Source organism: Homo sapiens, chromosome 17 (assembly GCF_000001405.40).
Source record: "Homo sapiens chromosome 17, GRCh38.p14 Primary Assembly".
NCBI classification, from domain to species: Eukaryota; Metazoa; Chordata; class Mammalia; order Primates; family Hominidae; genus Homo; species Homo sapiens.
In genome coordinates, this window is record NC_000017.11 from 17,130,608 (window position 1) to 17,155,315 (window position 24,708).

Genomic DNA, 24,708 nt, shown 5'->3' on the forward strand with positions numbered 1-24,708 from the left:
GCCAGCAGGCCCAGCGTGGACCCTGGTGCTGAAAGAAGACCTGGAGCGGTGTCTTCTGAGGCTCCTTCCACTCTGGAGAGGACACTAGGGCTGCCCTTGCACAACCAGGCCCAGGGCTGGAGCTGGGGCTTCAGAGGCAGGACCTACACTGCCCTCCGCTCCTCCCACCCCCGTCGTCTAGCCCCCACAGGACTGACAGGCAGCTCTGGCAAGGCAACTGCTGTTGGTTCCTTTGTCTGTTGTAAAATTCTATATGGTGGAAGTAGTTGTGCCATGATCTGATCTAGCTCCTGATTTCAGAAATGAGAAGATTGAAGCTCCTAAGGGGCCAGGAGCCACCCAAGATTGTGCTGGGATAGTGGCAGAACCAGATCCAGAGTCGTCCTGCTGGCAGCGCCTGCTTTTGCTGTGTTCCCTTGCTGCACCCCTGGTGTCTATCCAGAGTGAACTTGCCACACACAATCCCTGATGGGTCCCTGGGCAGCTCTGCCCAGCCTTCCTCAAAGCCAGGGTGCCCAGCACCCTCCCTCTGCAGGGACTGTGGGAGTTCAGCAACCCCCCACACCCTAGTCCCTCAAGAGTACCCATTGTGGGAACTTGACCAGCACAGCTCCTAGATTCTGGCCTCAGGGCCAGCACCTGCCTCTGTTGCCCTAAATGGGCACAGCTCGTCTGTACTCTCACCAAGCCCACTCTGGGAGAGCAGTGTTAGGGCAATTCCAGGCCCTGGAGACAGGGTCAGTAATGGAAGTTACACATCCTATGCTCTGAGGCCATGGCCAGGCCAGGCCTCTCTGCCAGCACGGAGTCTGTGTCGTGTCCTGAGCCTGCTGTGGGTGTGGCAGGGTCATTGTCCAGGCTTGCTCTGTGGCACTTCTGGCCCCAGCGTAGCAGTCTGTCACTGGGGACAATGCCCTGCTCTACTCCTGGACCACCCGGCAAGGGCCAGGGCTCCTAGTCCCCGAGTGCCAGGGTCTTACCTGGTACTTGTCTCCTTTTCTCTTCCCAGGTGGCTGGAGATGCTCATGGTCTATCCCCGGACCAACAAGCAGAATCAGAAGAAGAAACGGAAAGTGGAGCCCCCCACACCACAGGTAGGCAGTGGGTTTGCCAGATGGCATCCCCTCAGTGGAGCCAGGGCTTGGGAAGAAGTGAGGGCTCCCTGAGGTTAGAGGGTGAGGACACAGTCAGGCCAGGGCTGAGGCAGTCACCAACTCTGCACATCCTTGCTTTGGGCTGCAATCTGCAAGATCCTCACTGAGCCACAGGGGAACCACAACAGGGACAGGGTGGCCTGCTAGTGTGCTCTGGGGCTGCCCAAGGGAAGTTTCCAGCCAGCTAGCAGTACACAGCTGTGACCCCTCCCCTCGCTATCCTGCTGGCAGCTGGGGAGGGGCAGCACGGGCAGCCTGCAGCCACAGTCAAAAGGACTCTGCACCCACAGATGGCCCTGCAGGCAGCCGGATGCAGTAGGATGGGGAGGAGAATTCTGGAGTGGTATGGCCCATAAGGAGCTCACAGGGGCCCTTGCTGCAACTCCCATGTGACCTGAGCAGGGCGTGGCTGACTGGGGTGGTCCCTCAAGGCCCAGTCCTTCCCCACAGGCCATGATCCTCCTTCCCTCCCTGGCCAGTGTGCAAGGCTTAGGGCATAGAAGGGTCCTACACCGCCTTACCACACTCCCCACGTTCCTGGGGCCATGGGGGAATGAGGTAACCTTTTTTGAGCCTCAGTTAATCAACTTGCAAAGCAGGCCTGTTGCTGCCTAATCGCCAAGATTGTTGTGAGCATGAAAGGAAGTTTTGGACCTATTATAGGTTCTCAGTAAATGTAATTCCTTTCCCTCTGTACCATACGCTACTCTTCCCAAGTCCTGAGCCTCATAGTCACCCGAGAGGGAGCAGGGTGGGGATGGGGGTCCCTTGGGCATCACAAGGCCAGAGGCCCACAGAAGTGAAGAGAGCCAGCCCACGGGCTACAGAGGTCAGGGAGCATGCACTGGTCTGGGTCCCTTTCTCTCCTCAGCCCCTTGGGCTGCCCTTGGATATACCTGCCCTGGGCTGCTGTATTGGCCCTCCTGCTGATGGAGTCAGCCTGGGCCACTCTCAGCCCATGGTCATCCACCCTCCATCCTGGGGTCAGGGAGGCAGGTGGGGGACACCCAAGCCAACATCCGCTGGAAAGGAGATGTCGCTAGCAAGAAGTCAGCGAAAAATACAGAGTGGTTCCTGGGACTGAAAATGGAGCTTCCTGCTGGGGAACAGCAGTTAATACGTAAATCCCCCAAAGCTTCCCAGTTGGAGAGAAACAAAAAAATCACAGGCAGAATAACAGCGTTTAGGGTTACACTGCGTTTCCATGGTGATGCCTTGGAAACAGTGCAGAAGCGGAGCTCCTGCCTCTAATAAGGTAACTCCAAGTGCAGAAGCCGCTCTCAGCCCAGTCCAGGGAACTTGCTTGCTCTCCCTCCCTCATGACACCCAGCTCCCCAAAACAGCTACCCATGACCAAGTTTCAACTTTTTTGTTGGTAGAAGGAGCCACATGATCCCAGGGTGGGTAGGTTACCCACTTCACTGAGGGTCTCTTAGAGTCTGGAGCACAGGGTTCCTAGCCTTCTGCACTCAGGCCCCTCCTAAGACAACCTTGCGGGGTCTCTCCTTTCTACCCTTTGGTCCCGAGAGCATCCCATTTGAGGCTGCTTGTTTCCAGAAGCTTTGAATTGTAATCAGAGGCCATCTCTTTGTCAAGTCAGTCTTGTGGGGTGACGTGGGGGCACTGCAGAGGAGCAGCAGGGTCCATGGTTGAGATGGGATCTTTGGTCAGGCCTCCCCTCTGCATGCAGCCTGATGCTAAAGGCATTCTCATGGCCTAGGGTGGGGCTGGGGGTAAACCTCACACCTTCAGAGCACCTGGAGAGGCGAGAACCCAAGACCCTATATTTCTTTCTCCATGGCCCAGTGTTGGCCCGGGAGAGTTTCAGATTGAACCAGTGGAGAGCTTGAAGCGTTGGCTGCCTGTTGTGCCCAGTAAGAATCAGCTTCTCCCCTTAAGGAACTCAGGTGGGACCTTCTGGAAGGTTCTGCTTCCAGAAGTTGGGGCCAAGGATCGCACTGCGGGAGCAGCAGACAGCCTTTCAGCTGAGGGCGGGAGTCTCAATAGAGTCTAGGCCTGGGAGAAGAGAAGGGCTTGGCCCTGACAAGAGTTTCCAAAGCCTGTGGCCTGAGAGGCGTGGGCTCCAGGCAATAAAGGAAAAAGCCTGGAGCAGAAGGAAACGATGACCCATGTAGGTGTGAAGGGCGGAAGGATGGAGATGGTTGGGAAGCCCAGAGCTGTGTTTCCAGCCAGGTGTGCAGGCCCCGGGTCTCCACTCCTCTGGTGGAGCTGAAGGAGGCCCGCTCCTCCATCTCCCAGCCCCCCAGGTTCTTCTGCTTTTCTCTGGCTTTCTTCTGAGTTCAGTGTGAGCCCAGCCAGCACCACCAGGCCCACATGTGTGTCTCCTTCCTTAAGAATCCTGTTTTTTACTGGGATGTCTACTGTCACCCCCACTCCAAGTTAGAATTCTTCCTTCCCGTTGGTTGCCATGCTCCGTGTTCCTGCTAGGGAAGTGGGGAGCCTTCTGAAACTGCTGCAGAGAGAGGCCCTGCTTGGCAAGCAAGGCTCTAGAGCAACTTGTGCTTTGGGGAAGCGCTGCTGCCGGGGTGGGCAGTTAGGGTGGTTCTGCCCTGGGTCTTCTTCCCAGGGCAGCACAGCTGCTGGTTTCCCATGGGTAAGCAGCCCAGGATGCTGTGCTTGGTGCAGGGACAGGTCGTCCTGGGGCGGCATCCCCTTGGGTCATTGGAGCCCTTGGGAAACTTGTCAGGAGAAACCTTCACTGTTTGCTTCCGAGAAGCTGGCTTCTTCTGAGGGGAGCCTTCAGCCTGGGAGTCTGTCTGCTGGCAGCCCTAAGCTGAGTAGGTGGTCAGGTGTGCGTCCTGGGTCTGTGGGAAGAGCCTCCCTGCTTTTATCCTGTCCGTGAGGCCTGGAATCCTTGCAAAAGTGCCAACAGCTTTGGACCCAGAGCCCCACCCAAGGCAGTGCCCCACCACCCCATGGCCTTCCTGCTTCTGGAGCACGTGGTGGAAACACTCAGACCCCCATGCTGCCCCTCACTGGCTGTGTGCGTGTGGGCCTGCTGCCTCTTCTGTCAGCGCCTGCGGCCTCCCTTGGGAGGTGGGTGGGTGAGACTGGATGTATGGATCCCAGCCAGGCTATTGATAAATAGTCTGGTGGTGATGCTGCATCTGCAAGTGTGCGCACATACATGCATATAAAGAACCTGTGTCATCTGCAAGCCTCTCCAAGGGCCCAAGCCAGAGAGAGACTAAGGTGGTTTTCTAAAAATGAGGCTTGGCCATCAGGATGGGAGTGGGAAGTGGGCACTTGTATATCATGCTCTTGTCTTTTGCGAGAGAGCTGAGATGTGCTTCACTTTTGGAGAGGGGCCAAAGCCATCCTGTTGGCAGCCCTCTGGGCAGGGTTGTTGGGGCCCAGGATGTGACCTGGCACTGCGGAGCAGCTGAGGATCACAGCCCTGCTGTTGCCTGGATTCTGTGTTTGCAGAGTCAAGTTAGGGTTCTCTGCCCAGGGACTGCCTCTGCATCTGCCTAAATGCCTGCCCCACAAACACTTCTCCCTCGGAGCTACCACTTCCAGAACCATGGAGAGATTGGGGATTGACACCTTTTCCATCTGGGCTACTGGCTTGTATCTAGCTTTGTGTGTGAGCTTGTGAGTGTGAGAGAGCAAGCATGTGCACATGAATGTGTATATGCATTTGTGAGTGTGTGCCTGTGTGCAGATTCAAGTGGGGTATTTGGTGTCTTTGTGTGTTCTGTCTGCTATAATAAAATACCACAGGCTAGTCAGCTTATAAATAATAGAAATTTTTCTCACAGCAGGCTGGTTAGTCCAAGATTAAAGTGCTAGTATTTTGGGTGTCTGGTGAGGGCCCCCTTGCTGGTCCTCACATGTTAGAAGGGGCAAGGCAGCTCTCTGAGGCCTCTTCTATGAAGGCACTAATCCTGTACATGAGGGCTCCACTCTCATGACCTAATCACCTCCTAAAGGCCCCACCTCCTGATACCATCACCTTGGGGGTTAGGATTTCAACACATGAGTTGTGGGGAGACACAGACATTGAAACCATAGCATTTAATTTGCATCTGACGACTCTTTCCTTCACATAGCGTCTGGGCACTCCATTTTAGCTTCTTAGGGGCAAAAAGCAGAGGGTGGGTAAGGCCACAGGGCTGGCCCAGACTTGGGCGCTGTGAACTTGTTCTTGCATTCACTGTAAGGAGCTACAGATGATGCTGGACCTGTCTCGAGGGTGTGTTCTCTTTCCTTACTCTGTTCTGTCTCACCTTATTTGAGTCTTGGATGTCTAGGAATGACAGACTCCAAAGCAACTACTGTGGTCTCACTGTTTTGGGGCAGTATCTGAAGATTCCAGGCCCCTGACATTGTGTAGCTGGCCCGGGTGCCCCCTATAGCTAGGCAGCCAGGACCTGTGACCCAACCTGAGCTGTGTGCTCCTGCACCTTCACAGACACCACTTTCTCCTCCTCCAGGAGCCTGGGCCTGCCAAGGTGGCTGTTACCAGCAGCAGCAGCAGCAGCAGCAGCAGCAGCAGCATCCCCAGTGCTGAGAAAGTCCCCACCACCAAGTCCACACTCTGGCAGGAAGAAATGAGGACCAAGGACCAGCCAGATGGCAGCAGCCTGAGTCCAGCTCAGAGTCCCAGCCAGAGCCAGCCTCCTGCTGCCAGCTCCCTGCGGGAACCTGGGCTAGAGAGCAAAGAAGGTGAGCGGAGGCCAGGCTGGCTTGTATGCACGGGAATGGCCCTCCCTCCCATCAGAGCTGGCCCTGGGGATTCAGCCAAGGCCTGTAGAGCCCAGTCGCAAGCCTGGACCTCGATTCCCTTTGTCCATCAGCCCTGGGGGTAGCACCTGGCCTGGTATGTTCTGAGATTCCCGGGCTCCAGTCTTGGCCTTGCCCCTTCTAGCTCTTAAATCCCATCTTTAAAGGAGGAAGACAGCTCCTGTTCTGTCAGCCCCAGTTGCTTGTCAGGAGAATCAAAAACGTTTTGCAGCAGGGTCTGTGGATGGGAAGGCCTCTGTCACTGCACCATCGTGTTTCTTTCTGTGTGCATCCTGCCCCAAGAAGCTGCAGTCAGTCTCATCCCTCTCACCATCCGCATTCTGCCTGGGCCCCTGGCAGAAGGAGGGGAAGGGGTGCTGGGGAGGCAGCAGTTGGCATCCTCGTGCCCTGTCTTTTAGCACTTTGGAATTACCTGAGCAGGAGCAGGTCTTCCATCTTTGTCTGTCTTGTTCCCAGGCTCTAGAGGGCTCTGTAAGACACAGGCTGGGTTTTCCCATCTGTATTTTGTCTAGATTGTTAAAAATAAGTGAGCAGCAGGGGCCAGCCCAGCTCGCTCTGTCTGCATCTTCTACATGCACTCTGGGTGGAAGGTGTCTGAATCTTCCTCTCAGGCCTATCCATTCAAAAATCTATTCACTCTGTCTCACTTCTGTAGAAGTCCCCTGCCCCTTCCCACCACCAGAATGCATTAAAAGACTGAAGGGGCCGGGCATGGTGGCTCACGCCTATAATCCCAGCACTTTGGGAGGCTGAGGCAGGTGGAACACCTGAGGTCAGGAGTTTGAGACCAGCCTGGCCAACATAGTGAAATCCCATCTCTGCTAAAAATACAAAAATTAGCCAGATGTGGGGGTGCACACCTGTAGTCCTAGCTACTTGGGAGGCTGAGGCAGGAGAATCACTTGAGCCCAGGAGGCAGAGGTTGCAGTGAGCTGAGATCACACCACTGCACTCTAGCCTGGCGACAGAGCGAGATTGCATCTCAAAAAAAAAAAAAAAAATACTGAAGGGCTTGTTGGCTGTCAGCTTCCCCCTTGATGTTGGTGAGAAGCGGTTGGTGGTGGGGGTCTTGCGTCCTGAGGTACAGATCTGATCTTCCAGCCAAGCCCCCAGACTAGAACTGCAGGGCCTGCCTGCCAGTCTGGCTGAGAGGCAGCCAGCTGCAGGGGAGAGATGGATGAGAGAAAAAAGCATGCACGAAATATTTCATTCCCATCCATGGTTCTTTCCGTCTCACTCTGCCCTTGAGTGGGGTGTGCTGGATGTTAGAGACGGGAGGTGGAGAAGGCCCCTGCTTGGATCCTACATGGGCTTTAAAAAAAAAAGTCCTCAAAGCAAAGCTGCCAGCAGGCTGAGTGCGTCTCCTCCCTCCCACTGTCTCTTCCAGAGGAGAGCGCCATGAGTAGCGACCGCATGGACTGTGGCCGCAAAGTCCGGGTGGAGAGCGGCTACTTCTCTCTGGAGAAGACCAAACAGGACTTGAAGGCTGAAGAACAGCAGCTGCCCCCGCCGCTCTCCCCTCCCAGCCCCAGCACCCCCAACCACAGGTACAGTTGCCCCGAGTCGCCCTCCCAGGAGCTCGGTGGTCCTCTTCCTTCCCCAGGTCCTCGACTCCCCCACCAAATGGTCTGCAGCATCTCCCTCAGCTCCCTGGATGTGGCCAGCCAGCCACCTGCCTACGTGGACTCTGGCAGCACTAGGGGGCGGGGGACAGAGAGACTGGGGAGCGCCTTTGCCTTTAAAGCCAGCAGGCAATATGCCACCCTGGCCGACGTCCCTAAGGCCATCAGGATCAGCCACCGAGAAGCCTTCCAGGTGGAGAGAAGGCGGCTGGAGCGTAGAACTCGGGCCCGGAGCCCTGGCAGGGAGGAGGTGGCCCGTCTGTTTGGCAACGAGCGGAGGTAAGGAGCAGGTTAGAGGGTTGAACACCCAGGCCCACACACATGCACTTCCACCCACGCACATACACTCATACTCTCTGTTTCTCTCACATACAGTCCCCAAGCCTCCCTTGGCGGAGCATGCTTTCTGTTCAGAGCATAGGGGTATTTTCCCTCTGGGCCCAGAACTCAGCTCTAGTAGCCAGAATGCAGAATTTCTGAGCATCAGAGGTCGACGCCAAGAATAGCAGTTTTCACATCAGTGCCTCCTAGGACTGGGACCTTAAGGTTCCCTGATGGGTTCTCAGCTGCCTGGTCCTTGTGGGGCTGGATCTTTTCCTCCTGGGCCATTTCTATTCTCTGAAGTGGCATGGAGGCAGGGAGTCCCTAGAGCTACATGTGGTGACAGAGGCGCTCCTCACCCTGGCAGTCCCAGGGTGGGCAAAGGGCACTGAGAGGTTCAGAGGCAGACAGGCATGCCCAGGAAGGTGGGGGCAGCACAGGTTCCTCTCTCAAGGACATGCTCCCTGGGGAGCCACAGCCCCAGGAAACCTGAGGCAACCTGTGAAGCAGCTGAGCACCAAATAGCATTGCTTTTGCCCTCCAGGGGAGCATTGCTTTTTGCCCTCTAAGACTTTGACTGGCTGGAGAGAGAGAAAGTTTGGACATCCGGGCCTAGGGCAGGGACCAGGGGCACAGGTGCAGAACTTGACTGCTGCCGAAGAAGATGAGGGCCCATGCCCTGCCCTGCCCTTGTTCTCCAGAGTTTCCTGGAGAACTAGAGAAAGAGTTGGATGTCCTCTGAGGCCTCCAAGCCCAAATCCAGACGCAAGTGCCCAAGCACGCCTTCAATCAGGCTTGCACCCCTGCATCTGTATACTGAGGCTTTGCCTTGACAGCAGGGTTCCTCAGCCAGGTTTATGGATAGACTTACAGACTTCTGGAGGTCCATGATGACCTGCCCCCTCAATAAAACAATTTCACAGTATTCTTCCCAGAAGAGAGTTAGGGTTAGGCACTCTTCTGGGAAGAAGACCCATAGTTTTCATTAGGTTCCCAAGGTTCACTGTCCAGAAAAGAGGTTCAAACCATAGTTCTGGAAGTCTTCTCAGAGTGTCCTCCCTTCCCCAGCCACAACCTGGAGCTCAGAGTTAGAGACGCTACCAGGAGGGACAGGTGAAGGCAGCCATGGGCTCCCGTGCCTCGAAGGGCAGGTGGAGGGAAGTGTCTTTACATCCTGCCCCCTTTTCTTCTGAGCACCCACCATTGGCTGACAGCCCACCCACTCTTCCAAACGTCCCAGATGAAAAGGCCTGTGAGCCTGCAGGTTAGTCTCCAGGATAAGGAAGCATCTCCCAGAGATACTGCTGGTGAGAGGAAAATGACACGTTGACTTCCTAGGGAAAGGAAGGGCAGCCAAGTGGTTCCCAGCCCCTGCCTAGTGCCCCAGGGTGCTCTGCTAAGCACTTGGCTGCCTTAATGTTTCATAGTAGCCTGATGAGGATCTGTTACTACCGCCCCCAGTTATAGATGTGAAAACTGAGGCTCAGGAGTAGGTGACTTCTCAACAATGGATAGCTGGTGCAGATCCCAGTGGGGCCTTAGCCAGGAAGTCCCTGCTCCCATCCTGTGATCCAGGACTGATGCCAAGGATGCTCTTTTAAGCAATTAAGAAAATATATAAGTAAAGGGTTTTGCTAGAGAGAGGAGGAGGCCAGTGGGTGGGCAGGGGAGGCTTCATGCTGGCTGGCAAGCAGGCTGTGTGTCGTGGTGGCTCCAGAGCAGGATCAGCTATGTCCTGGTTTAGCGCCAGACCACAGAATTAGCATTCAGCACACCTGCTTGGCTTGGCTTCTTCTCGGAGAGACTCCTTTTGAACTCGTTCTTGTCTCCTGTCGCCTGGGACAGGTGCAGTCTCTGGGGCTTTGTACTCTGCATGCACTGCCACACGGGGATGGGTTTTCACCTGGTGCTGGCCCCACCCCCCACCAGTTCTGCATACTAATACTGCAGCATCCCTTTCTCCTGACCCTGGTGACATCTGATTGGCTGCTGTCGCTTTCTGAGGCCTGCTCACTGGATCCCTAGTAGCCCACCCTGTGCTTGGTTGGATTCCTGTCCCCTGGTTGATTAGAGCAGAATCTCCAAATTGGCAAGAGATTCTTGGCCACACCTACCTGAAATGGCAGCCACAATAGGTGTGCCCAGGAGCCAGACTGCTGGGACCACAGGGTTGGTTTTTTGACAAGCCACAGTCATCTAGGCAAGCCTATCTGAACCTGACCGGTTCTGGGCTTCGATGTGTCCGTTCCTCAGACTTCCAGAGTGTTTCTTGGATAGTGAGTCACCTCTGGCTGCTGAGTGGGGGAAGTTGTTTTCCTGGTTGGCCTGCTGGTGACTGGCAGCAAGGACAGCTCCCCATGTAGCCCTAACCCCCCTGCCCTCAGCACAGCGGTTAGTGCCCTGGGAACCCTGGAGCTGCAGGGTGCAGGCCCCGTTTTCTGTGCTGACCAGTAAGGTGCTTGCTGTCCCACCTGCAGCTTCCAGGGCACCAAGTAATAACTTTCCACCTCGCCCAGTAGATCAGGGCAGCCAGTGTGCGAGCCTGTGGTCTTACAGGATCTCCCCAGGCCCCCATGCAGAGTGACTGTAGCAAGTGCCTTTCCTCTTCTCCACCACGACTCCTCTGTCTGGATCCCCACAGTACCACGGCATGCGATTTGCATGAGGTTAAAGCCCAGCAGTTCCTCACTGCTTTCCTGGGGCTTTCTAGGCCCCAGTGTTGGGCAGAGGAGCCCTCATCCTGGAAGTGGCCTGTTGGTGAGCCTTGAATCTCACCAAGATCCCACCACAATCGCTCAAGTGTGGTGGACGCCTGGCTTGCACTTACCAAGCTTTCCCTGGGTGTCCTGGAACTCCAGCAGCTTCCTTAGCTTCCTGCTCTCACAATGCCGCGGCCTCTGCTGCTCCCCTACCCCAGCGCCTGCCTCCGCTGCTGGTTCTAGCAGGCTGGCCCGGCACAAGCTTCTTTCCTGAGGAAGACACTTTGTGTCTAAGCACAGGGAGGAAGCTGAGCTGAGGAAGACACTTTGTGTCTAAGCGCAGGGAGGAAGCAGAGCCCGGGGCCCTCGCCCTCCTCTCTCCGGGGGTGAAGACGCCTTAGGCAGCCAGTTTTCCCTCGCACTCCCTGAGAAGCAGCTGGCCTCTTGGGGGAGGTGGGGTCTCAGGAATTGATCTTGTTTCCTCTCTTCCTTGTGGAGATAATTAGGCTTCCAGGCTTGGGAGCCCTTCACCCACTTCCTCTGGGTTCTTATCCTCTTGTCCAGAGCAGCAGTGACACCCTCCCCGCCAGGTAACTTAGGTGCCCCTGGGAGAACAGGCCCGGCCCTGTGAGCTGAGCCTCAGCTGGTGCGTCCCCCACCTCTGACCCCACCAGGGTGACTTCTTGCAGCTGGAGGACAATCATGGTCTCTCTCCCTCTTCAGTGATTACCTTGGGTTTTTGCTTCTTTAATTCTTTGGATAATTTTGGTTCACCATTATTTGATTTGAAAAAGCAGCGCTCTTCCATGTATTCATTTCCCAGCCTTGTTTTCTTTCAGGTCTTGCCTCTGCGCTCTCCTGCTGTGCCGCTGGGTGGCGCTGCGCCTCCTCCACCCGCTTCGCCCCCATCTAAGCTCCGTCTCCGGCCGTAGACAGCCTGAGGAGGCCGCCAGCCCTTTCACATGAAATCAGCCTGCTTTGTTTTTGTTTTAATTTGGTCTTTGATTCCTTTTACTGTTGGCAGAAACAATGTTAATTCCTGGGCCTCTTCCTTGCTAAATTTTGGGGTGGGGGGTGCACTGTGATCCATGAGGGATGCAATGAGAATGGAGGCTGCCTTCCGTGGTGGTGGTTGCCTTTTGATCATGTCTGTGGCTCAGGAGAGGCTGCCGGGTGCCAAGCTGTGTGAATGCCGAGTGGGTCAGCACCACAGAGCCTGCAGGGCCTCTAGCGCGGGGGCAGAGGGTAGGGGCAAGCGCAGGCCTGATGGGAGGGAGGGCCGTGGAGGGGTGCAGGCAGAGCTCGGGTCAGCTGAGCACGTGTCTAGACAACCTCGGTGCTGTGCAAGCCTGAGGGGAATCAGGCCCGGGCCAGGCCGGGCATGGGAGGAGTCGGCTCACTGCCACCTCACAGCTCACCTCACTGCCACCTCAGGGCCTCGTGTCCTCTCTTGCAGGAGGTCCCAGGTGATTGAAAAGTTTGAGGCCTTGGACATTGAGAAGGCAGAGCACATGGAGACCAATGCAGTGGGGCCCTCACCATCCAGCGACACACGCCAGGGCCGCAGCGAGAAGAGGGCGTTCCCTAGGAAGCGGGTGAGCTCCTGGGGCTGGGCAGCACCTCAGGGGTGGCTCGGGGGCGGGTCAGCATGCACCCCATGCGCCAAGTCCCCTCCACACAGGCCTGGGATGTGCTCCTGCCAGGCTTCTCTCCAACCACCTCCTCTGCATAGTGACTTCTTGAGAGCAGGCCTGTCTCCTGCAGCTTCATATCAGAGCCTTCTCCGTCTCTGCTGAAGGATATTCTCATGCATTTTAGATCCCAGATTTAATTAGGATCACTCTCTTCCTATCTGAGACAGCCCAGCAACAAGGCTGAATGTCACACCTTCCTAACTCTTTCTTTCAGTACAACTACACCCCTCGTTTCTCCACTCAGCCCAAGGTAGACTCGGCTTCTGAAATCCTCCTGGGCACCCGCCTGCTGCTTTTGTAGCCGGCCAAGTCTAAGCTCATCTTCTCCTGGCTTCTCTCTTGTTCACAAGGTGCCTAGTGCCTACTGTCTGGCCCACAGCTTGCCACCTGCCACCACAGAGCCCAGGGCTCTTCCTTCTGTGACCCAGAGAAGCTGGAGGATGGGGTGGGGCCAGGAAAGTGACAGTGACTGGGAATCCAAAAGAAAAGGCTGCTCTATCAACCAGGGCATCTCAGGACCCGGGTCCTGTCCTGGCCCTGCTGCAGACTTGCTATGGTGGCTAGGCAGATCACTGCCCCTCGCCAGGAGCAAGGCCCTGGCGGCTCTTGGAGGGGTGGACAGCACCAGCTCGTCCCTCACATGCCCACATTGCCCTGGGCTGCACTGACCAGCGGCTGCTCTCTGCCACAGGACTTCACCAATGAAGCCCCCCCAGCTCCTCTCCCAGACGCCTCGGCTTCCCCCCTGTCTCCACACCGAAGAGCCAAGTCACTGGACAGGAGGTCCACGGAGCCCTCCGTGACGGTGAGCCCAGGCGCCGCGTCCTCCGGAGGCCGTGCTCCTCTGCTTCTGGTCACTCTGAGGCGCTGTCTGTTTCTGTCTATGCGTCCATGCCAGCTGTCCCTCTGTGCACAGGCCCTCGTGTCCGTGAGCACCCCCACCCACCGACCCACAGGCCGTCGAACACAGATTCTGTTTCTTCCCTTTTCTGGTCCCAGCAGAACCAAGGGCTCCATGGCATCCTGAGCTCTGGGAGGAGGCCCTGCGGAGGAGGCCACCTCGGGCTAGGCAGACTCCCGACTCTAGGCGGCAGGGCTGCAGCAGGGACCCTCCGCTCCTCTGGCTTTGGGCATTGCTTTTTGTGGCACTTCGGAGGCAGAGGCCACGTCTTGCTGGAGCTTGTCTCGTTCTCCGTGTCATGCCTCAAGTGGAAGAGCAGGCCTTGCACCAGGTTCTCCATGGGCCTCAGAGCTATGACAACAGAGGTGCGGAAGGAGTGGTCAGGGTACAGGAGCAAGGCCAACTCAGCATGCTGACCCAGCTCCTACCCGCTCTGTCTTCAGCCTCCAGGGGAGCCTGGGGCCTGCTCACTGCCTCTTGTCTCCTCCTTGCTGCCTGCACAGCAGCTCACCATGGGCCTCCGGCCTGCCCCAGGGCTTGGGGGCTGCCAACCACAGATTGATGTGTAACATGGAGTGTGAGGAGGAGTAAGGTTTGGGTTTTTCCTTCAGTCTGGGTTTTGCTTCAGGTGTCTTGAACAAAACTCCTTGTTTCTCTGTTAACTTAGCTGGGAGCGCCTTCCCCAACAGAGAACACCAGCAGGGAACCCACCTGCATAGGCCTTGCCATTGGGGTCAGATTGCAGGCTTGGCTTCAATGGCACAACCATGATATGGAAATTACGAGTTTTTGTTAAAGATCTGCAAGCTAGGCCGGGCACGGTGGCTCACGTCTGTAATCCAAGCACTTTGGGAGGCCGAGGTGGGCAGATCACGAGGTCAAGAGATCGAGACCATCCTGACCAACATGGTGAAACACTGACTCTACTAAAAATACAAAAATTAGCTGGGTGTGGTGTCGCGCTCCTGTAGTCCCAGCTATTTGAGAGGCTGAGGCAGGAGAATCGCTTGAACCCGGGAGGCGGAGGTTGCAGTGAGCTGAGATCGCGCCACTGCACTCCGGCCTGGCGACAGAGCGAGACTCCGTCTCAAAAAAAAGAAAGATCTGCAAGCTAAGCAGGCTGTCAGAGAGGGGGCAGGTGGCAGTCCCACGTCTCAGGTCCTGTGCCGCAATGGCAACTACAAGCTTGCAGGAGAGGACCTCCCTATTTAAGGGCTACTTGGGGTAGGGTGTCCTAATTTCACAGTGTTGCTTTTGATTGGGTGCTTCAAATAACTCTGGCGGCAAGGACAGTTGCACAGCTTGGCAGGACGTTGGGGTTGAAACAGGGCTCTGTAGAGGGACTTCTTATCTATCTGGGTCAGTCTTGGCCAGACCTAGGCAGCAGCGGACTGTGGTTCCTTCCTCACTCCTCAGAGACAGGGTTCTGAGCAGAGGCTCCCAGAGCGCTTTGTTCTGGTAGTTATCCTGACAATTCTTGCCTGTTCTCACTCTCACTCCTTGGAATAATACAAACAGACATCAAAGCTAGCTTCTGCTCAGATGGCTGTAGAAAAGAGAGCACCTCGGACCAGAGATAAGGTGACCCATGTCTCTGTGGGGCCAGCCAGGTGGGCTGTAGATGGCAGTGCTGTCTCAGGCTGTTCCTCAGGGCCCAGGTGTGTCTGGGCGGCACAGGTGGAGGAAGGACAAGAGCGCTGTGCCTGGGCGCTGCCCCCCTGTCTGCCATCCTGCTTCTTGTGGGGGAATACAGGTCAAGCCTATTCCTGGTGGAGAAATGGCCTGAGGGTCTCAGCGGGGCTGCAGCTGCTGCTTCCTCAACACCGCACGTCTCTGTTTCCCAGGCTTCCTGTGGCTTCTGCAAGAACTTTTGAATCAATTCTCCTTTCAGCCTTCCCTGCAGATGTTTCCCTTCAAATAAAATGTTCTGTGACTCTTCATCTGGGCTTGTTTTCTGCCTCCCAGATAGGCCCTGTGCAGTGGGCCCTGTACAGGCCGGAGCCCACACTGCTCACAGGGCAATGAGACCATACCTTCTCTCCTGCCAGCCTGCCAAGCCCAGCATCTCCTTCCTCAAGGTCGCGTGTGCCTACAGAAGGCTGGTTGCAGGCAGCACCCACCAGGGTGAGGGGGCTGCACAGGCTTGTCTGGCAGGTGGAGAAACCCCTTTCCTGGTACCCGCCTCATCTGGACAGAAATACTGGCCCCATCAGACACTCATGACACTAGAAGAGTTTCCTCTGAGCTGTTCTTTTTTCTCCCTTTCTCAGCCCGACCTGCTGAATTTCAAGAAAGGCTGGCTGACTAAGCAGTATGAGGACGGCCAGGTGAGTGTGCAGGGTTGCCGTGGCCCCTGAGGGATCTGGGGACAGGGTGAGGGTGAGCTGTCCTTGTCCCCAGCCAGTCTGCAAGTGCTGGCTCCATGCCTTCCTCCTCCATGCCCCTTGTCTTCATGACCAGGGCTGTGGCTGAGACTCCCATCTGCTCCTAGAAGTGCAGGCACACAGCCTTCATTTCTGCAGTGGGGGGTGCTCTGGAGGGGCACTCGGTAGGCCTGTCTGCTGATGGCAAGCGGGTGTTGGCCCGGCCTTAGGGATGCCTTGTAACACTAGCCCCCACCTGGTGATCTTTCCTAAAAGTTGTTTAGGGGCCTGGCTTCCCCAGGGACAAAGAAACTCTCTGGCTGTGGGATTGGCTTGTGTTTCCATGCAAGCCAGCCAAGTAGACAGTAGCCTAGCACTGCAAGACTCTCATGCCAGAGACCCCTCAGCTGCAGTGGCAGTGTTAGCCCTGGAAGGAGCAAACATGGTACATTCTTGCCATCAGACTCAAGCAGGAAGAGCCATCTGAGGCTGGACCTGCCAGCCCACCTTGACCCTGTGCCATGGGCTGGAAGGCCAGGCCTCCCAAGGAGGCATGAAGAAAAGCCTGCTGGGTCCTTACCTAAGAGGCCCTGATGCCTAGCCCATCCTCACTCCCTTCCTGCTTCCTGAGCTGCTATCCCAAGACATCCTCTTTATTTCTCCTCCATATCAAATGCCCTTGGCCTGGCATGAAGACTCAAGTTCCCTTCCTTACTGCTCACAGTGAAGACTTGGTCTCTAGCTGGTTAGTTACCCCTGCTGGTTAGGAGGCCACATGGCCATGGCTTGCGGGCTGCCACCTGCAGGTGGAGATGCCATTTCACAGCCACCTTTCCGTTCTGATGGGCCCAGCCTGTTGTCTGCAGCCTCTGTAGTTACTGAGGACCGCACGGCCTGGCCACCAGCCACACCATTGGTCATAGAGCCCACAGCCAAGGCCTGCTCAGCTGTCTGTGCTGCCTCTTCACTGGAGGGTCACAGCTTAGTGAGCGTCCTGAGGGTGTGAGCGCATGGCTGCCTGCAGTCCGAGCAGAGTCCTCTGTATGCTGTCAAGGGAGGGGCCAGCCTGTCCCCTGCTTTCCCTGTGCTCTGGGAGGGCCCCACAGGCTCTGGCTGCGCACCGCCGTGGCGTGGCAGGCATGCTGTATAGGAGTTGGTAGTCGAGTCATTTTTCTTTTCTTCCCCTTTAGTGGAAGAAACACTGGTTTGTCCTCGCCGATCAAAGCCTGAGATACTACAGGGATTCAGTGGCTGAGGAGGTGAGTGTCTGGGCTTTGCCTCTGCTGTGGAGACAGCTGGAGGGGTCCAGGCGGCATCTGGGGCTAGTAGATCTGCTTCCCCCTGGGCTAATGTCCCCACTTCTGAGGACAGCGCCCTTCGGTGGTGTTACCTTGCCGAAGGTATGTCCATGTTGCCCTCTTGGGTTTCCCAGTCCCGACCTGGTGGGAAGGTGAGCACAAGACCAGCCTTTGTCCTTGTGATCATTTTCCTGGCTGTGATGCTGGGCTTCGTCAAGGCCTTGAATTAAGTGCCCAGTGCAGTGGGTTTGGGCAGCTTTTCTTTTCTCTGTTCTTTGAAAAACACTGAAATTTGAAAACTCAGGATGAACAATTTTGTTTTTTCCACAAAGAGATTTCATGGTAAATGGAGTTGGAAGAATTGAACTACATCTTGTGCCCTGCCTTCTGGACAAGGACAGGATAGGATAGATGAGCTTTTTTGGGCCCCTGGACAGTCCTGATTCTGTGGTCAAGGACCAAATAGAAGGGGTTCTTTTTTTCTTCACCTACAAATAAAATAACCTCTTCTAAACAGTTTGGCAAGTCTCCTTTGCCTTTTCCCCAGTAGTTTCACTCCAGGAATCCCTCAGATAACTCCCACATGTGGAAAAACGTCTGTTTCAGGTTAGTCATTCCCACACGTTTGTAACAGCCAGATGATTGGAAAGAGCCTAAATACCCATCATTAAGGGCCGGGATATGTATTAAATACTCTGAGCCAGTCTTTACAGACTGAAGGAGAAAAGGTGGTAGTGATAAGAAGTAGGGGTAGGAGAGTGTGGGCGGTGGGCCTCTGGTGGTGTCCAGCGTTGGGGAAGTAAGGAGCCTATGTAAGTGTTTGGTTGCATGTGCATAGAAGAGCACTTCCGAGTGTGGTCTGTAGACCTCTGGGGGTCCCTGAGGCCCTTTCAGGAGAGCAGTGGTGGTTAAAATAATTTGTAATATTAAGATGTCATTGACTTTTTTTTGCGTGTGACCATCTGCACTGATGGTGCAAAAGCAATGGGAGGTAAAGCCACTAGCACTTGGCACAGCCCCATCTGTAGCAACAGGCTGGACCAGTGGTCACTGGATTCTTCACTGCCATACATTTTAAATAATTAATCGTTTTAAAATAAATAAGGTCCTTGAAAGAGCAGCAGAAGTTACTAATTTTATGAAGCCTCAATCTTTAAATGCCCATCTTTTTAATATTCTGTGATTTGAAATGGGAAGTAAGCATCGCCTGGCTGCATACTAGAGTGTGCAGGCTTTCTCATGGAAAGGACTTGTGTGATTGAGTTGCCAGCTGAACTAGCAGCTTCTTTTGGAGCACCACGTTTACTTGAAAAACAACTGATAGGCAAAACTGTGGTCATTAATTTTGGGTGTTTGGCATATATTTTCATGAAAATGAACCAAGTTGGCTCATTCCTCTAAGGAAAACAACTGACAGAATTTGTTGCCAGTGATATAATTTGAGCTTCCAAGCAAAAATTAGAACTTGGGAAAATTTGTATTCACCATCATGAACTTCCCTTTACTTACACTCTCCTGATGAAATAGGTGGTGGTATTAGCAAAGGCGATATTTTAATATTACATAATGAAATGTGTAGACAATTGGAAGCTGTGCATAACAATATTTTCCATGTGACCAGTACCTAATGTTACAAAAGCATGCCTGGGTTTTAATGTAACACAGTACAGAGAGTTCATGGGCATGATTTCAGATACCACATTGCAGTTAACCTTTAAGAGCCTACTGCTTGTCAAAGAACAGCCACAACTACCTGAAAAAGCTATTAAAAATACTTCCTTTGTTGTCCGGGGGCGGTGGCTCATGCCTGTAATCCCAGCACTTTGGAGGCCAAGGCAGGCGGATCACCTGAGGTCAGGAGTTTGAGACCAGCCTAGCCAACATGGTGAAACCCTGTCTCTACTAAAAATACAAAAATTAGCTGGGCTTGGTGGTGGTCATCTGTAGTCCCAGCTACTCGGGAGACTGAGGCAAGAGAATCACTTGAACCCGGGAGGCAGAGGTTGCAGTGAGCTGAAATCGTGTCACTGCACTTCAGCCTGAGTGACAGAGCAAGACCCCATCTCAAAAAAAAAAAAAACTTCCGTATTGAACAGATGGAATGCAGAAACAAGAATCCAGCTGTCCTTTCTGAAGACAGATGTTAGAGAGATTTGCAAAAATTCAAAGCAATGTGACTCTTATCACTGATTGTTAAATCAGATTTTTATTTTAAAATGAATTTATTTTATTCTCAAATGAACAAATATATTTAAATTTTACATTTATATTAATATATATTTTCATATATATTTAAATGTATAAAATATATTTTATAATATATTTTAAAATATATTTAAATATTTTTAAATTAAAATTTTTAAAATATTTACATTTTAATTTCTAACATAGTAAATACCATCAATAGATGAAATCCACCTAACAGAAGCTCTTCTAGGGCCACCAGTTTTTAAGAGTGTGAAGGGATTTCAACAGCAGCATGTTTGAGGACCACTGGCGTGGACTATCTTTGGCTGGATACAGGGACAGATGGTGGTGTGATTGCACCCAGTGAGGGGCCTGGGTCATGCAGTAGTAGGATAGACGGTGTCCTCACTTGTCAGTGTGTATACTATTAAAAGTAAAGTCAGTGCAGAAAATCACTTACGGAAATTTGCTCATCTAGGCATTGGTTCTACTTCCTAAAAATCTCAAGACATTCTCACTTCCCTCGGCAGGCAGCCGACTTGGATGGAGAAATTGACTTGTCCGCATGTTACGATGTCACAGAGTATCCAGTTCAGAGAAACTATGGCTTCCAGATACATGTGAGTCCAGGGATGGAAGTGGGGCCACAGGCTTGACAGGCAGGGATGCATGTCAGAGTGCCTAATGTCTGGGCTGGGGGCACTTCTGGACAGGCCTGATGCAGCGTGTATGGTCAGCACTTAGTCTTTCCCACTACCCTTGACACCTCTGTCCTGTGGCACCTGACCCTATTCCCCAATTTGTGATGTGAACAGTACATTAGACGTTAGTATCTTTTTTCTGAAGACTGCTTAAAGCTTTTTTGTTTCTGAAGGTTCCTTTTTTCTTTTGTTTTTTGTAATGCTGGAGTTGGGGCAATTGGAAGGATGTGGGGTATGGGGAATAAGAATGAAAGTGTTAGTCAATTATTTACATCCGCTTTTTACTCACTTATTCATGTGTTTGTTCATTCATTTACTTACAAGGCTATTTTTTCCCAAAATCTTGTGAGGTACTCAGATGAGCAAGGCATTGCACTGTTCTCAAAAAAAAAAAAAAAAAAAAAATCTTATTGGTAGGACAAAATGGTTCTTATTGGCTGTTTCTTCAAAACTGTGTGGATCAAGGACTGCCTGCAGTCAGCCAGACTCCAGGTTAAGAGCACAGTCCTCCTGACTGCCACATCTGCCTCCATTTCTTTTTTTTTCCCCCAAGACAGGGTCTCACTCTCTGTCCAGGCTTGAGTGTAGTGGCACAATCATGGCTCACTGCAGGCTCGAAATCCTAGACTCTAACGATCCTTCTACCTCAGCCTCCAGAGTAACTGGGACTACAGGTGCATGCCACCATGCCCAGCTTATTATTATTATTATTATTATTATTATTATTATCATTATTTAGAGAGACAGGGTTTCACCATGTTGCCCAGGAGGGTTTTGAACCCCTGGGCTCCAGCGATCCACTTGCCTTGGCTTCCCAAAGTGCTGGGATTATAGGCATGAATCACTGTGCCCAGTCCTGCCCCCACTTCTGACACCAGTTGTGAGTCCGGAGGTTTCCAAAACCACCTTCAGTTTCAAAAATTCACTAGAATGACTCACAGGATTCAGGAAAGTACTGTCTTTACAATGAGTTTTATTATAGAGAAAGTATGTAAGTCAGAACCAGCCAAGGGAGAGCCATGTGGAGTAGAATCTGGGACTGGGGGAGTCACAGATGCCAAAAGTTTCTGCATCCTTGGGGACACGGTGTCCTCTTAGCCCTGATGTGGGGCAGTGCGCAGAGCATTGCCCGGAAGCCCACCTGAGCCCCGGTGTTGAGTTTTAGGAGGCTCTGTAGCTGCTGTGGTTGATGGAGTTGTTGTCCTCATAGTTGAACTCCACCTAAAGCCCTTCCCGCCATGGTTGGCTACTTTCACATGGCCCAAACCCCAACCCTCTGATTTAATGGGTTTCCTCTAATTTCCTGCTTCTGGCCAGGCCAGCCTCTACCCTGAGTTGTCTTGTCAGCATGAAGTGTTAGGTGGGGTCCCAGGGTACCACCATGAGTAACAAAGACTCTAGTCATTCAGGAAATTCCAAGGTTTGGAAGTTACCTCCCAGGAGCTAGGACAGAGGCCAGGCCTCTCTTTGGGTAAAGTTAGTTCGTCACTCGCAAGGGCTTTAAGATGGGTGGAGAGTGTGATGAGTAGAGAGCTGCCCCCATGGGGCTGGGCCCTGGCCCTGGGACTTGGTTCTCACACAAGGCTAGACTCTGGTGGGCTCACCTGTAGCAGGGTCATACCTTCAAATTTTGGGGCCCAGAAACTCAATTTTATTGCTGTGTTGAGAGTTGATCCAGTATTTGGGGCTCACTCAGTTTGGCCCAACTTAGAGGAGACTGAAGTATAGACCCAAAGGCCAGTGTGTTCATTTACTAAGAAAATCCTGGCCGCCAGCCCACTGGGCTGCTGGCTGTGGCTTCCTGCGTGCAGGCATCTGCGAGAGGAGCTGAGTCACAGTTGGAGGCTACACTGACAGCCTGGCACCAGGGCCGGGTGTGAGTTGTCTGCTCTTAGTGGCCTGCACTGCCCAAGTTTCAAGGCTCCTCTGTCCTCATCCGCTGTGGGAGGGGTAGGCGGGCATAGTGCCCGGTGAGCCTCCTCTCCTGCCGTCCACCTCCCATCTTCATGAGCAGCTTTCTCCAGGCAGGGCACACCTGAAGTCTGAGAACTCACCCCGCTCTCCTAGTGACAAATGAGGGCATCAGCCACTCTCACCCACTGATCAACCCCTCCTCACTTCACCCTGGTAGGGCTTATCCTGATGACTTTCGGTGATCCCCAACTACTGAGAGTTCTAAGGAATGAGGAGATGCTTCCAGTGTGGAGAAGGCTTCCTGGGGGAGGCTTCCTGGAGAAGGATCCCTCAAGGCTCAGCAGGAGGGATGAGTGTGAAAGCATGTCCCAGACTGGACTCCAGACCTGGTGGCACAGAGAGCACAGAGCCAGTCTGGGGCTAGAGTGCTGGGTGGAGAGTCAGGTTGGCGCTGGTCCAGCCTTTGTGGAGAGCACTGAAGGGTGTTAGAAGATGCCAGTCAGTTGTGCGTTCATGATACATGTCTGGCGGGACATGCAGGTCCATTAGAAAGGAACCAGGCTGGCACGGTAAAGCTGGGCAAGAAAGGAAGGAGCAGCACCTGGGAGGAAGAGGTGAGGGCAGGGCCAGGACCTGGCAAGAAGGCCCCGCCCACTGAGAAGCCAGCAGAAGAGCTGACTTCACAGAAGCAGGGGGATCCCCTGGAATTCCGGCTGTGATCCATTTGAGGCATGATGGGCTCTCAGAGAACATTAGGCAGCCGCTGGGAAAGAAAATTCAGCTGGAGAAAACAGCTGTATGTGGAGTGCTGAGGCCAAACTCCAGCAACGCCCACACCTGGGGGTGGAGAAGGATGGACCCAGGAGAAGGTGGTACCCCCCCAACTCAGCTCACATGGATATGAGAACTGATGAAGGAGGACCGAGCTGGGCAGTGGTGGTGTCTTGATCGGGCATGTGGAGGGGCAGGTCAGGTCCCTCCCAGCTGTGCTTTGTGGCACGTCAGGCCGGTGCGTGATCTCCTGTTTTGGCTTCTGGCCAGGCCACTAGCACCCATCCGAAAACCATCCTCATGATTGCATCCTGCCGTCAGCTTCCCTACTGACCTGGCTGCTGAGTCTGCTTGTGAGCAGCTCTCGGTTCAAGGCTGCAGCCCTCGCTTCTGTTGGGCAGGTGCCTGTAGGTGCAGAAGCAGGCCTCCAGCTCCATGCAGGCCACTGGCCCTCCCCTGCCTGGTACCCAGGCAGGTCTGCTCAGGGGCGCAGTGGTCATGTCCCAGAGCCATGTGCTCTTTGCTGCTTTGTCCTACCTGCTGCCCCGTTCCTCGCCCAAAACAGGCTCCTCCCCTGCTACCTTGCACAAGCACCGAGGACAAGCCCTAGACTCCACCTCATCCAAGCAGGAGTCTAGGGCTTGTCTAGGTGCTCCCCAACCCAACCAGCCAGACGCTGTTCATACCCCTTTTGTTACTTCTGAGCTGCCCTGTCCCCTGCCATCACCTTAATTCTCATCACTTGGACAGCTGCAGTAACCACCCAGCAGGTCTCCCTGCCTTTTCTCAGTGCCACCAACAAGACCCTGATACCCCTTGTTCTTAACCACTCCCTGGGCCCATCATGCCATGTGCCTGTGTGAGTGCAGACTGCAGGTGCCACTCCCCACGCCCAACACACACGCCCTTCCGGATTCCCCACCTCCACCACTGCTCAGCACATGCTGATTCTGCCCTTCCCCCGAGGCTGGGAACTCCTTAAAGAGGGGTGCAGCATCCTCCTCTGTCTGAGTGGACAGGCTGCTGGTGCGTAGTGGGTGCTCAGTAACTGTGAGCTTGTTACTGAGAGAAGATACCGGATTTACCATTGCCACAAATACACGTCCCTCCCACAGCTTTGACGTCTCCTGCTCTCCAGCTCCCTCATGTCCCAGTAGTGGGCACATGTGGCACTCCTAGAAGGGTCACCCAGTCACAGCCTTTCTCCCTGTGGGACTTTACCCAGTGCAGGGAGCTTCTTTGGAGATGGAGGGCAGCAGGCACCCTAGGGGACAGTCACTGATGGTGCCTCATCTTTTCTCTGTAGACAAAGGAGGGCGAGTTTACCCTGTCGGCCATGACATCTGGGATTCGGCGGAACTGGATCCAGACCATCATGAAGCACGTGCACCCGACCACTGCCCCGGATGTGACCAGGTAGGATGGTGAAGACACCAGGGAGCCCTTTGTGCCTCTTGTGGGTGCCACTCCCGCCAGGGCAGTGTCAGACTCAGGTCTGAAGTCTGAGACCTGAGCTCAGTGCATCCCAGTCTGCTGCTCCTTCCTTCCTGTGTCCTTCTGTTGCTCAGGTTCCTGTCCCAAGTAATCAGAACAAACATTTCTGGTTCTTTTCTCTTGTAAGCCCAAGCGTTTCATCTTGCAGGTAGCATGTGTGCTGGTCATTAGAACTGGGCTTTGGTGGAGAATCTTCCATCTGTGTCAGCAGGCACTTGGCCAGACCAGCCTGAGCCCCGCAGTCGGTGCTCTCAGGCCTTGGGCTCTGCTGCTCTAAGGGTGGCCCCATGTGCGGCATCCATAGGCCACCCAGTGCTTCTTTGTCTTGGCCTTCTTTTCACCTCACTCCTACGTCTGTTTGATTTCTGTGCAGCCAATTTGAAAAACCCTCTCCTGTTTTTGCATTCTGTGGTTCATGTGTCTCAGATTTTGCTTTGGGCTTTTTTCCTCCTGCCCTGAAGGTTAAAGACCTAGTTCTCATTTTAAAAGATGGAGAATCAGAAGACTCAGACATATCTAAAACAAAACAAAACAAAAAAAGCAGAGAAGATTCCAGTGTGGGGGCTGGTCCTTTGATGGCCAGAACTCTGCTGTCCCCACCTTCAGAGCCTCCACGCATCTGAGCACCTCTGGTGCCATTTCTCAGGTCATGTGATGTAGATTACATCTCGAATGTGTTTCTTGTGCTGTGGGTTAGGCTGCTTGGGTGTGGCAATGTCACAGCGGGGGCTGTCCATGGAAGCTTTGACCTAAAAGCGTGTTCTTTTTTTTTTTTTTGAGATGGAGTCTTGTTCTGTTGCCTAGGCTAGAGTGCAATAACGT

The 24,708-nt window shown here is 53.9% G+C and overlaps 1 protein-coding gene across 12 annotated transcripts in view, besides 6 other annotated features; it reads left to right on the forward strand.

The window, feature by feature from the left end:
- The window catches only part of MPRIP (myosin phosphatase Rho interacting protein), a 150,187-nt gene that overhangs the window by 88,151 nt on the left and 37,328 nt on the right, over positions 1 to 24,708 (forward strand). For 5 of the 12 annotated variants that reach the window (XM_005256563.5, XM_047435683.1, NM_201274.4 and 2 more), the window contains exons 5-13: positions 1,010 to 1,094; positions 5,612 to 5,843; positions 7,309 to 7,468; positions 12,020 to 12,158; positions 12,949 to 13,062; positions 15,429 to 15,485; positions 16,712 to 16,780; positions 19,537 to 19,626; positions 23,699 to 23,808. In XM_005256563.5, coding sequence (XP_005256620.1) covers positions 1,010 to 1,094; positions 5,612 to 5,843; positions 7,309 to 7,468; positions 12,020 to 12,158; positions 12,949 to 13,062; positions 15,429 to 15,485; positions 16,712 to 16,780; positions 19,537 to 19,626; positions 23,699 to 23,808 — 1,056 coding nt within the window. Of the gene's footprint in view, positions 1 to 1,009; positions 1,095 to 5,611; positions 5,844 to 7,308; positions 7,823 to 12,019; positions 12,159 to 12,948; positions 13,063 to 15,428; positions 15,486 to 16,711; positions 16,781 to 19,536; positions 19,627 to 23,698; positions 23,809 to 24,708 lie in introns of all 12 variants that reach the window. The other 7 variants (NM_001364716.4, XM_011523764.3, XM_011523766.3 and 4 more) reach the window with 3 other exon arrangements.
- Positions 1,006 to 1,510: an enhancer, noted in NCBI's record as "H3K27ac-H3K4me1 hESC enhancer chr17:17034927-17035431 (GRCh37/hg19 assembly coordinates)". NCBI's record gives its function as "activates a minimal SCP1, AML or CMV promoter by ChIP-STARR-seq in primed H9 embryonic stem cells {active_cell/tissue: H9 hESC(primed)}" and the evidence as "EXISTENCE:reporter gene assay evidence [ECO:0000049][PMID:30033119]".
- Positions 8,015 to 8,104: an enhancer, noted in NCBI's record as "active region_11788". NCBI's record gives its function as "activates an Ori minimal core promoter by ATAC-STARR-seq in GM12878 lymphoblastoid cells {active_cell/tissue: GM12878}" and the evidence as "EXISTENCE:reporter gene assay evidence [ECO:0000049][PMID:35858748]".
- Positions 10,063 to 10,653: an enhancer, noted in NCBI's record as "H3K27ac-H3K4me1 hESC enhancer chr17:17043984-17044574 (GRCh37/hg19 assembly coordinates)". NCBI's record gives its function as "activates a minimal SCP1, AML or CMV promoter by ChIP-STARR-seq in naive H9 embryonic stem cells {active_cell/tissue: H9 hESC(naive)}" and the evidence as "EXISTENCE:reporter gene assay evidence [ECO:0000049][PMID:30033119]".
- Positions 11,354 to 11,896: an enhancer, noted in NCBI's record as "H3K4me1 hESC enhancer chr17:17045275-17045817 (GRCh37/hg19 assembly coordinates)". NCBI's record gives its function as "activates a minimal SCP1, AML or CMV promoter by ChIP-STARR-seq in primed H9 embryonic stem cells {active_cell/tissue: H9 hESC(primed)}" and the evidence as "EXISTENCE:reporter gene assay evidence [ECO:0000049][PMID:30033119]".
- Positions 11,897 to 12,438: an enhancer, noted in NCBI's record as "H3K4me1 hESC enhancer chr17:17045818-17046359 (GRCh37/hg19 assembly coordinates)". NCBI's record gives its function as "activates a minimal SCP1, AML or CMV promoter by ChIP-STARR-seq in primed H9 embryonic stem cells {active_cell/tissue: H9 hESC(primed)}" and the evidence as "EXISTENCE:reporter gene assay evidence [ECO:0000049][PMID:30033119]".
- Positions 19,734 to 19,813: an enhancer, noted in NCBI's record as "active region_11789". NCBI's record gives its function as "activates an Ori minimal core promoter by ATAC-STARR-seq in GM12878 lymphoblastoid cells {active_cell/tissue: GM12878}" and the evidence as "EXISTENCE:reporter gene assay evidence [ECO:0000049][PMID:35858748]".